The sequence below is a fragment of the Homo sapiens genome, chromosome 10 (genome assembly GCF_000001405.40).
Source record: "Homo sapiens chromosome 10, GRCh38.p14 Primary Assembly".
NCBI classification, from domain to species: domain Eukaryota; kingdom Metazoa; phylum Chordata; class Mammalia; order Primates; family Hominidae; genus Homo; species Homo sapiens.
The window spans coordinates 93,590,637-93,602,309 of record NC_000010.11 but is presented as its reverse complement, the minus strand read 5'-3'; the positions used below and the strand labels follow the sequence as shown (position 1 = coordinate 93,602,309).

Here is an 11,673-nt window from a genome sequence, read left to right as displayed (position 1 = left end):
CATGGAGACACAATCGATATTGTATGGAAAGAATCTCAAGAAGAGATACTTCTTTGCCACATCATGAATTCTCATTCCGTCATTCTCATCCTTTGATTGGCTGCTTTGATCAAACGAGTGGAACTCTAACTTCGAACAGAAAGAGAAAAACAGGGTCAGTAAATTGTGCCATCACACAGGAAAATACCTAAACTAGTCACACTGTTTTGATTCAATTGGCTACTGAAGTTATAGAATGTTGTTTACTCTTCTCTCCTTTGTCTACTCCCCAGCCAACAAAACAACCGACCTTAGCTGTTTTGAAAATAAATGAAAATTCCAACATGGGTTTGAAATAAAATTGCATCATAAACAATCGGTAGGTGTTTTTCAAAGTGGTTTCAGGGAAGTGCCACGGAGTAAGCAGGCGACCACCGAGGCTGCTAAAATATTTCCTGTCCTGACCAGGGTTGCGTTTCTGGAGAATATTTAACAGGGAGGGTTTTAACGCTTTTAAAGATGTTGAAACTAAAGAACAAATATTGACCAGAGGGCACCACAACGCTCCTGAAAGAGAGTAAAATACATCCTTTATAAAATGAAAAACTACTTGGATGAATTATTCCAAAATTCCTGCACAAGTGGACCTCAGAAGGCAGACGGAGGCGCCAATTTGGCATGGCCAGGGCCTGGGCACTCACGCACCAGGGAGCCTCGCGGGTCCGCTCTCGCTCTGTGAGGCCACGGTCTTCCCGCCAGGTTGACTCGAGCCTCCTGCCAGAGCCACTGGCCCCGGAGGCCACCCTAGACCGCAGCTGGCGGCCGCTGGCACGAGTGCAGGGTAACTGAGCCAGGGCCGCTGGCGCATTTGGCCTGGCCGAGGCCACCCCGCGCGGCCGCTCCACTGTGCCCGAGGCTGTCCTGGAGGTGAGGCCGGCCCACAGGGACCCTGCCCGTGCCCGGGCTCCGGTGAGTCAGGGCGCGTTATGCAAGTGCCCCCGGCGCCTCCCCTTCGGTCTTTCACCCCGCGCGGTTACGAAAGCGCGACCCCCTCCCCCCGGCGCTATAAAGCAGCGGGGCGGCCGCGGCGCGCTCGCCTCCCTCGCTCCACGCGCGCCCGGACTCGGCGGCCAGGCTTGCGCGCGGTTCCCCTCCCGGTGGTGAGTCGCGGCCGGGGCCTCGGGGCCGGCGGCGGGATGGGCCGGGGTGGGGTGGGGTGGGGTGAGGTGGGATACGGCGGCGGGGGTCGGCTGCCGGGCACTGACGGAGGCGCGTCTCCCGCAGGGCGGATTCCTGGGCAAGATGAAGTGGGTGTGGGCGCTCTTGCTGTTGGCGGCGCTGGGCAGCGGCCGCGCGGAGCGCGACTGCCGAGTGAGCAGCTTCCGAGTCAAGGAGAACTTCGACAAGGCTCGCGTAGGTATCGGCCCAGGGGGCCCAGGCGGCCCAGGTCCCCACCCCATCCCCGCCCTCCCCGCGGCCCGCCGTGCGCCCCCGGACGCCAAACCCCTGCTGTCATCCTTCTCACAGTTCTCTGGGACCTGGTACGCCATGGCCAAGAAGGACCCCGAGGGCCTCTTTCTGCAGGACAACATCGTCGCGGAGTTCTCCGTGGACGAGACCGGCCAGATGAGCGCCACAGCCAAGGGCCGAGTCCGTCTTTTGAAGTCAGTGGCCGCCGGGGCAGCTGCGCCCTTTGCGCTCCAGGGTTCCCCAAGGGCCCTGCCTGCTGATCGCCACGTGGGCATTGTGAAGGGAAGGGAGCACCGAATGGGTGGAGGGAGGGAGGAAGCCCTTTGCCCGGCTTGGCTGAGGATCCCCTTGGCTTTTGCAGTAACTGGGACGTGTGCGCAGACATGGTGGGCACCTTCACAGACACCGAGGACCCTGCCAAGTTCAAGATGAAGTACTGGGGCGTAGCCTCCTTTCTCCAGAAAGGAAGTGAGTAGTCAGCTCTGTGGGACTGTCTTGGGAATGGGGCGCCTACCGGGCCAAATCGCTGGGTTTCTTCTCCAGAGGTACCTACCCTTAGGAAGAATGGCCTGCGGAAAGGTCTGGAAGTGTCAGGAACCCGCAGCACCACCTGAGGTTAGGGGAACAAGATTGGGAGCAGCTACCTACCCCCTCCCCAAACCTCAGCTCAAGAAACCTGGCCTAAGCTCAAAAGGACCTTTCGGTTTGTCAGGTGTCATTTTCCCCACCAGCCACTGTGCCAAGGTGTGTGCTTTCTCCATGCTTTCTCCTCCTGTCTTTCACATCACCACTCCACCTAGCTCTGCATTTCCTCCGTCTCTTTGGGCTGAATCCCTGAGACAGCTTGACTATCTGGGGCTCCCACAGAGGCCGAGAGAGCCCTATCCAAGGACGGAGGGAACACTGTGCATAGGGGTGGATGCCTCCCAAGTGCCTGGCCTGCTGATGCTGAGATTCTGAGCCAGGCACAGTGTGCTGTGGCTGTGGCCTCTTCCCTTTCCACTAAGCTGTGAAAATCAGATGTGGAGGGGAGTGATGTTGAGGACTTGTAGAAGAACATCCTAAAATTTGGCCTAATCATGAGAAAACAGTGTCTACATGCTCTTTTTCCCATTTTTTTCCCCATTTATCCTAAGTTTCAAATCAGGAATCTACTTGGTAGCTAGAGAATAATGCAGGCCAGGGGACACATATCATGGAATCTTAGAGAGGGAGAGTTAACCTTTTGGAGGGGGTTCAATATGTAGATGAATAAACTGAGGCCAAGAGAACTTTGCCCAAGGACATGCAACAAGTTTGTTAGAGCCAATGTCAGAAGCCAGGCTTCCAAATCTCAGGCCAGGATCAGGTGGCCCTGAACTGCAGGGACTCCTAATCCAGACCAGCTTTTGCAAAGTATTGTTTGAGCTCTTCTGTGAGATAGGACCAAGGGTTGTTCAGGGAGACTCTCTCTGCTCGGTGATCCAGGGTAGAAGTGTCCTTTATTGTAACCCTTTGCTCTCCATATATGGCACACCACCCTCTTGGACTTCCTCTAAAGTTGTGTGTTGGATGAAATTGCATTTTTAAATTTTATTTAATTTTTAATTTTAATTTATTATTATTTTTTTTTTAGAGACAGGGTCTCACTGTCACCCAGGCTGGAGTGCAGTGGCGCCATCATGGCTCACTGCAGCCTCAACCTCCTGGGCTCAAGCCATCCTACCACCTCAGCCTCCTGAGTAGCTGGAACTACAGGCATGGGCCAGCATGCCTGGCTAATTTTTGTATTTTTTGTGGAGTCAGGGTCTCCCCAGCTTGCCCAAGCTGGTCTTGATCTCCTGGGCTCAAGCCATCCTCCCATCTCGGCCTTCCAAAGTGCTGGGATTACAAGTATGAGCCACCATACCTGGTAGAGAAAAAGCTTAGAAGCTTTATTTTTATTTATTATCCTTGGAAATAATAAAAATTATTTCAAATAGTGCAGCAAAACATCCCAAAGTGATTTATTTAGAGTAAAATATACTTTTCTGATAATGGATTACAAAAATCAATACCAGAGGTACAAGATTATTAATTTTTAGAAAGAGGAAACACATATGTTCTATAGCATTTTGAGATGTGCTCCTTAATGGACTAGGATTCTGTTGGCAATGCCTTTAGGCACAGGGTCAGAGAGGACCCAATGAGAAGGGAGCATTTTGTTTCTTGCCTCCTCCCCCTATCAAACCAGATTAGTTTGCTTTTGTCTCTTGTATATTGGTATTTTATCAGGATTTCATTTGGAGGGCGAAAAAGTACTGCCATCTTGAAAGTGATTGCTATAGATATTAAGTGAGATGACTATAATATGGAAGGCTTAAGGATAAATTCCTTCTTAGGTTACATTTCAAAAAAGAAGCTGTGCAGTGTTGTAGTTAAGCCCGCCCGGTTAAAATTAGACCTCCTAAGTTCAAATCCCAACTCCACCACTACTTGTGGAACTTTAGATATGTTCCTTCACTTCTCTGTGCCTATTTCGTCATCTGCAAAGTGAAACGATCATAGAACCTACCTCATAGAGTTGTGTTACAAGATGCAATGAGTCAACAGGCAGAAAGCACTCAGAACAGTGCCTGAGACATGAGTTCTTTGTAAGTGTTTGATATGATGGCTGCTTAGTTATCTCCCTGGTCGTGAAATCATAGCTTTAGATTCTGGGTCTAGAATGGGAGGACCCATGGAGACCACTGGGTTCAAGTCTCTTGTTTTAGAAGTGAAGAAACTGGGGCCCATAGAGAAGTGACTGGCCTAGGGGCACAGGGTGAATTTTTGGCACTTAGTGACACCTCTTAACCCATGGCTTGTAAAAAGGCACAAACAATGCCTTTGTTTTCTGAGTATCTCGCAAATGGCATGGCTTGATGCACCTACCTTGTTCTGTTTTACATGCTTGTTTTGGGGTCATCTTAACAAACTCTACTTTCATTCCTCGTGCCAGTTTCTTCCCTGACCATGGTCTTGCTTTAAACACTGACTTGGACAGAGGGATTTGAAGGCCACTCCAAGAGTGGGCTGCATCCTCAGCCTCTCCCCTGCTCCACACACTGCATCTCACCAAACGGATGTGTTTAAAATGAGGTGCGCTTATGGAGAGAAAGTAACTCAGGGCCAAGCGATCATGAAATTTGTTGTCGAATTATTTTAAAATTAAATGTGATCAATCTCTACAGTTGAATGTCAGTGTTAACAGACTGATGTGGCTTGCTGCTCCAGCCTTGGGCATGCTCCATACTGGTCTTCCCTTCTGGCTCCACCAGCAGCAAGCAGGATGTCTCAGGGGTTGAGGATACTACCATCAGCAGGTCTTGGTTGAATACAGGCTAGCCTCCCTGAGATTTGACTTCCTTCACTATGAAATGGGGATAAAGAATAGTTTCTATTTCATAGAATCATTGGAAGGACTAATTAAGGTAATTTGTGAAAATGCTTAGCCTAGTGCATAGTAAGTGCTCAATAAATATTAGTTATATCATCATTGTTTTGTGCTCTTGTAGAAAGACCTGGACAAAGACTCTCCTTGTGTCCTTCTGTCAGATGAAGTCTGTCACTCTGCTAGTAAAGGGGCCCTTGTCAGACTGAATAACAATGCAAGCCTGAATGTTTACATTAGTGTTGGTCAAAGTCAGGGTTCCTGCTCCATCTATATCTAAATACACTAGGGTGCTTGTTAACAAATGCACATTTCTGGACTCAAACCCAGAATTATGGAGTCAGAAATTCTAAGGGCACGGCCCTGGAATCTGCATTTTAAGTATGCTCCTTGGGTATGCTGTTTCTGCACAATGAAGTTTGAGAACCACTGGTCTAGATAATTCAATCTGAAGAGCTTGGCTTACTCAGGTATCAAGGCCTCAGACTCCACTCACTTTTCTGGGGCCTGTTGGGGTATTTTGACAATGCATCAGAAATAGCATTGAATCTGTTGCCTGGCTGGCTCAGCTGGACTGTTAGGCCTGAGAACCACAGGGAGCTTCCCACCTGGTCTTGCTGCTTTAGATGATTGGAGCATGCAGGTTTAGGGAGCTGAAAGGACACATGCCAGGCCCACAGCAGTGAGCAACAGAACAGACCAATGGAACCAGGTTGCCTGAGACAGCGCCCTCTACCAAGCATTTTCTTTGGTTTTGGGACTGGCAGTCCAAACCGCTAAACCAGTCTGTGTAGGTACAGTATACACACAGCTGCAGCATGACCCCACTTCCTAGGATGGTAGAGGGGAGGCAGGGGCTCCCAGCCACACAGCCACTGCCTCCAACGCTCTCTGTCCCTAGCTCCACTGCATGCGGTTAGCTGGAGTCTGGAAATGGCTGGGGGTGTCTGGTTCTCCAGAGGAGCCCTGCCCAGCTGCCGGGTGTGAGGAGGTTAGAGAACCAACCTCATTCTCGCAGTGCTCTGGCAGTTCATCTCTTGCAAATACTCTTAAAAGGGAGAGCCTGGTCAAGGTCACTATGATTTAAATTCCTCGTCTTTGAATTATTCAGCCAAAAGAGCCTGGAGATTAACCAAACCAACTTAGGCCTTCTTTTAAAGTCAAGAACAGTAGCCAATTTTACTAAATCCAAGTATTGAAAGTTACTTAATTCCTCTGTCAAAATTTAAATGATGGCGACCATTTTGGAGGAAAAAAAAAAAAAAAAAGTTAAGCTGCCGATCGGCCAAGCTAATAGCTGCCTGGATCATGAGTCGAGGTAACATTTCAAAGGCAAGTGTTTTTGTGTCTGAGGGTGCCTGTGACAGACACTGTGATCCTCGTAACCAGGGAAAGAATGACTTCATCCAAGGATGAGGAAGACCACCCAGATACTCTGGAGCCTGTGAGGGGAGTCAGTGGTTAGGGTGAGGCCCAGCAGGCAGCCCTGTGGCTTCTGTTCCCAGCCTTTCTGCTGAATAACTTTATGGTTCCTGCTGAGCAGTCATGGTTCTGGAACATCTCCTCAGCCCCACCTCTGACACTGTTACCCTGGAACAGCCTCAAGGCACAGGAGTGGCTCATTCTCCTGGCAGGCCTAGGGTGAGTTGAAGAGAGGGGCTCCACACCCACTCCTGTGACAGCCCCCCTGCAGAGCCTGGGTTTGGGCTGAACCCCATCCTAGGCTGGCACTCCAGGGGTTCTCAGAGAGGCACACCCAGAGGCAACTTAGGACCAGCATTCCAGGTGGCCTTACACCCTCTAACGCTGGGGGATCCAGTTCCCTCTGCGCTTCTCCAACTGGAACACTGCAGAGGGAGCATCACCCCTTGCTCCAACACCTGAGCCTGAGATGGAGACACAAAGCCTTTTTGTTTCTTGCCCCTCTCCCGTCAGTGTACTGATTGTCTGGAGACAGTGTGGTGTAGAGGTGAAGCATGTGGGCTCTGGGATCACACTCCCTTGCTTGAATCCCAGTTCTGCCCTGCTCTTTGTGACCCTAGGTGAATTATTAAGTATCTCTGTGCCTCAGTTTCCTCACCTGTAAAGTAGAGGATGATAGTGTGCAGTTTTGGATCAATGTGAGAGGTAACCGAGAAAACAAATGGGAGTGTCCATACAGTGACTGGCACATAATTAAGTGCTCAGAAAGTCCCAATCATGGTATTGTGTCAACAAGAAGGTTAAATTAAGTAGAGATGTGGCACTTTTATCTCAATACAGGGTGACACTGTTCTTTCTCTGTGGCAAATCGCTCACATACATTCTTTTTTTCTTTCTTTTTTATTTTTTTAAGACAGAATCTCACTCTCACTCAGGCTGGAGTACAGTGGTGCAAACCTAGCTCATTGTAGCCTTGACCTCCTGGGCTCAAAACGATCCTGCCGCCTCAGCCGCAAGTAGTGGAGACCACAGACGCATGTCACCCCACCTGGCTAATTATTTTCATTTTTCATAGATACCAGGTCTCACTATGTTGCCCAGGTTGGTCTCAAACTCCTGGCCTCAAGTTACCCTCCCACCTCAGCCTCCCAAAGTGCTGGGATTACAAGCACGAGCCATGGTGCCCGGCCACACATATACTCTAATTAACATTCTTTCCTCTCCTGCCTTCGTTGATATTTTTACCACTTTCATTTACTCTTATTCTTCATGGCTTACATTTCAGCCTTGAGGAATACATATAATCTAAATTCAGTGGCTCAGCTCTGCCTCTGTGAGTTGTGAAGAGGACAAGGTCTGAGAAGGAATATCTGATGCCAGATGGTGGGCCTCTTGTGTCCTCAAGGCAAAACCTACTCTTTGCCGGCACAAAGAAGTGAGTAGCATTAATAAGCAGAATTAGGATGGAGCCAGAGAAGCCGTGACCATGGGCGTGGCATCCTCCAGAGGACTGAGAGAGCGGGGGGCAGCCCGGTCAGTGAGTTGATTAGGAACCAGCGATAGAGATCGAGAAAGACATAAGCCAATATTGGGGGTAACATAAGTTGGTGGCCATCAGATATTAGCCACAAAAGACACAGATATTATTGGAGAGTAGATGGTGAAGCGACAGTAGAACGGTTTATTCTGTGGTTTTGATGAGCCCACATTCTTGGTGGTTCTTTGGAAAGATGCTGTCACATTATGCTGACATAATCACAGGGACAGATGATGATTGAAGTGAATGAGATTTCCCTGACTCCAAGATTTTTTTCAATAAAGGAGAACAAGATCCTTTCTGATTTGCCAAATTTTATAAAAGTTGTCAGAATTCTCTGAAGTGTCCTGCTTCCTAAAGAAATAAAACCAGCTTCTGGAAGTCACTGTGTTCTCAGGCCTGGTCGTGAGTTTCTCCGACATCTGAGCCCATGAGGGAAAGGCATTGATCGGCATGGTGGCTTTCTGGCTTGCAGATGATGACCACTGGATCGTCGACACAGACTACGACACGTATGCCGTGCAGTACTCCTGCCGCCTCCTGAACCTCGATGGCACCTGTGCTGACAGCTACTCCTTCGTGTTTTCCCGGGACCCCAACGGCCTGCCCCCAGAAGCGCAGAAGATTGTAAGGCAGCGGCAGGAGGAGCTGTGCCTGGCCAGGCAGTACAGGCTGATCGTCCACAACGGTGAGTCAGGAGCAGGGTGCCTTCTGGCTCTTCCTGCAGGGCAGTGGGTTTGGACTAAGGGGCCCACGTGCTAGTGAAATTCATTTTGTCCGTACCCCAGAGAAAACAGGGGTTCTTGGGAGCCCCTTTCTGAGGCCAAATCCAGATCCTGCTTGGCCAGATTTTTCACTGGCCTTCTCATAGGGCTCATGCAGGTGTGGGTAAAGGCCTTTGTCCAGTTCACTGGCACTAACACTGCCGTGGGCTCTCTTTTCTTTTTATTCTGCTTCCTCGGGCCATTTCTGTGGTCACCCCTGGCTACACTGCCCCAAAAAACCATTGTGACTGAATTAAGATTGTTTGGGATTGAGCAGCCCAGTAAAGAGGTGGGCAGTTCATGTGGCCATTGACGTAAAAACTCCACAGGGGGCATCAATGTAGTAAGCTCCAAAGAGAATGATTTCAACGCACCTTCTTTTTTCTATATGAAACCAAATAGCCATGACATTGTCTAGCTGGGTTTCCTCAGTTGGGGGTTTTGAGATTCTCTGGAACAACCATAGGATCTTTTAGGAGATATTACCCTTGTCTGATCTTGATTTTAAAGCCAGGAACATTGTGCAGGAAAGAGCTCCATTTAGTTTGAGTGGACACTCACTCATTGCTATGGGATACTGGGTTTCAAAATCCAAATACAGTAATGCTAAAATGTAGAGAAACAAAATGGGCCAGGCATGGTGGCTCACACCTGAAATCCCAGCACTTTTGGAGGCCGAGGTGGGCTGATCACATGAGGTCAGGAGTTCAAGATTGGCCTGGCCAACATGGCAAAACCCCATCTCTACTAAAAATACAAAAATTAGCCAGGCGTGGTGGCATGCGCCTGTAATCCCAGCTGCTCACGAGGTTGAGGCAGGAGAATTACTTGAGCCCGGGAGGCGGAGGCTGCAGTGAGTTGAGGTTGCACCACTGCATTCCAGCCTGGGCAACAGAGCAAGATTCTGCCTCAAAAAAATAATAATAATAATAATCAAACAAAATGGAGCATTTCTGTTGGTCACGAACTGACCCACTACACCAAACAGATGGGAACTTAGACCAAAATCAAATTGATTTTGAAGCTTCACCCTTCAAAATTAAATGTAGGGCCAGCAAGGATTCCACCACAGCAGGGCACCGTAGGAAGCAGATTATGCACATTGTACAGATGAGAAAACAGAGGCTGACAATGAGGAAGAAAGTTGCCCTAAATCTTTAATAGGTAGCTGAGTTGGATGCAAACCTAGAGTTTTGTGACTCTGAAGTCCCTTGTGCCACACCATCTGGTGACACATGACATGAGACATAGAAGCACTTTATAAAACCATCACCAGTGTGTCCCAGGTCAGGCTGCCTTGGCTCCCACTTCCTGAAAGCTGAGGGTGGCCTCCGACACTTTGAAATGCAATAAGGCAGACTTAAGAGAAATCAAAGGAAGCCCTGTTCATCCAGCAAGTCATATTCTCTCCACCCCCATTACGTCCAGAGAAAATTCAGTGGGTTTCAGAAACAGCCTTGAAGGTGTTTATGAATTACAGCCACCTGTATCCGTAAGGGTTGCAATCTGCTGTGATGCATTTGAATTAAGAAGCATTTGAATGAAGCCAGCTCTAAGGCCATCATGATGTTCATTATCTACATAAAAACTGGGTCCACTTTCTGTCGTTAATGGCTTTGTTTTGTATTTTCCAGGTTACTGCGATGGCAGATCAGAAAGAAACCTTTTGTAGCAATATCAAGAATCTAGTTTCATCTGAGAACTTCTGATTAGCTCTCAGTCTTCAGCTCTATTTATCTTAGGAGTTTAATTTGCCCTTCTCTCCCCATCTTCCCTCAGTTCCCATAAAACCTTCATTACACATAAAGATACACGTGGGGGTCAGTGAATCTGCTTGCCTTTCCTGAAAGTTTCTGGGGCTTAAGATTCCAGACTCTGATTCATTAAACTATAGTCACCCGTGTCCTGTGATTTTAGTTTTCATTTGTGTTTATGTCTGTGCTGCAGACGGATGGGTGGGGTGCGCTTCTTTATACCAGGAGCACGTGGCTCTTTCTGACCTTTGGCCTGTTCTAGTGCCTAATCTCCATTATTAAATACTGGCTTCTCCCAACTTCCTGAAAAGGAAGTTTCCTCTTTAACTTAGGGAAGCCTTACCTACCAGCCTGGCCAAAGCACTGGTGCCAAAAGAGGAAGTGAGTAGACAGGTCAGTCCAGTGAGCCCAAGTCCTCAGTCAGCCCTAGGCCTGTGAGTGAGGTGGGCGGGCTGGCAGCTCACCAGTGCTGGATTTGAGAGGCTGAGCCACAGGGGACAAAGTGAGCTCTAGGAAACACTCCTTAGCCCTTTATTGTCTCTAGCATGCAGCTCACCTCTTTCAGGTGTAGGCAAAATGTTGATGGGGAGGAGGGAGGCCTCTGGGGAAATTCGAAGATGGGGCTCTGGAATCTCATTCTATAGGAAAGATCAGAGCACCCCCTACCCGGAATGCAGGGAGGGGCTGGGTAGGGGGTGAGTTGCAGGGGCTGGGACAGAGCACCAGCATCCTGCATCATTAGCAGCACGTGGGAACCCTAGTGTATGGGTGCAAGGCCACTTGCCTCAGTTTTCCAGGCGTTCCCAGGGGCCTCCATTTCTCATCTTGAAAAAAGCAGCAAGGCTTTGGTACCAGAGGGTCTTGGTGTAAGTGCAAATCTGCTTCAGATATATATTAGCTGTGGATTTGGGGCTGGTTACAAGGCTTATCTGAGCCTCACTCTTTTCTTGGGAGATAAGGGAAAATAGTCCTTGCCTGATGGGCTGCAGTGAGGATTCAATTAGGCAATGTCCCTTAGAGCTCTGGGGAGCTGTGAAACCGGTGATGCCAGGCTGATGTCTATGAAATGCACTGGGAGTGAGGAAAGGGTCACAGATCTCCGCCTGGGTGTTGGAATATCCAGGGACCGTGGGAGGCTCCCGGGGGCCCCATGCTAGTGTTCTCCACCAAAGACAGAGGAGACAGGTGATGTGCATGGGAGAGCTTTGCCTTCCTCTCTCACGGAACCACAGGCTGTCAGAGCCTTGCTCCGCAGCTTCAGTTTGACAACCTCAGAGAACCATAATGATATAGGAGTTAAAAAGAAATTACTCGGGCAGATAGTGAGGGTATGGAAGTCCTTGGTAAGATTTTCCT

General features: G+C 49.1%; 1 protein-coding gene across 3 annotated transcripts; it reads left to right on the top strand.

Moving 5' to 3' along the window:
* RBP4 (retinol binding protein 4) lies at positions 566-10,616 on the top strand. 3 transcript variants are annotated; one of them, NM_001323518.2, is made up of 6 exons: positions 566-644; positions 1,339-1,392; positions 1,507-1,643; positions 1,811-1,917; positions 8,275-8,487; positions 10,198-10,616. In NM_001323518.2, the coding sequence occupies exons 1-6, from the start codon at positions 594-596 to the stop codon at positions 10,233-10,235; spliced, it is 600 nt and encodes a 199-aa protein (NP_001310447.1). In that variant the 5' UTR covers positions 566-593; the 3' UTR covers positions 10,236-10,616. The 3 variants fall into 3 exon arrangements, with proteins under 3 accessions (NP_001310447.1, NP_001310446.1, NP_006735.2); NM_001323517.1 differs by lacking the exon at positions 566-644 and adding an exon at positions 797-948 and having other exon boundaries at positions 1,264-1,392; positions 10,198-10,474; NM_006744.4 differs by lacking the exon at positions 566-644 and adding an exon at positions 1,075-1,139 and having other exon boundaries at positions 1,264-1,392.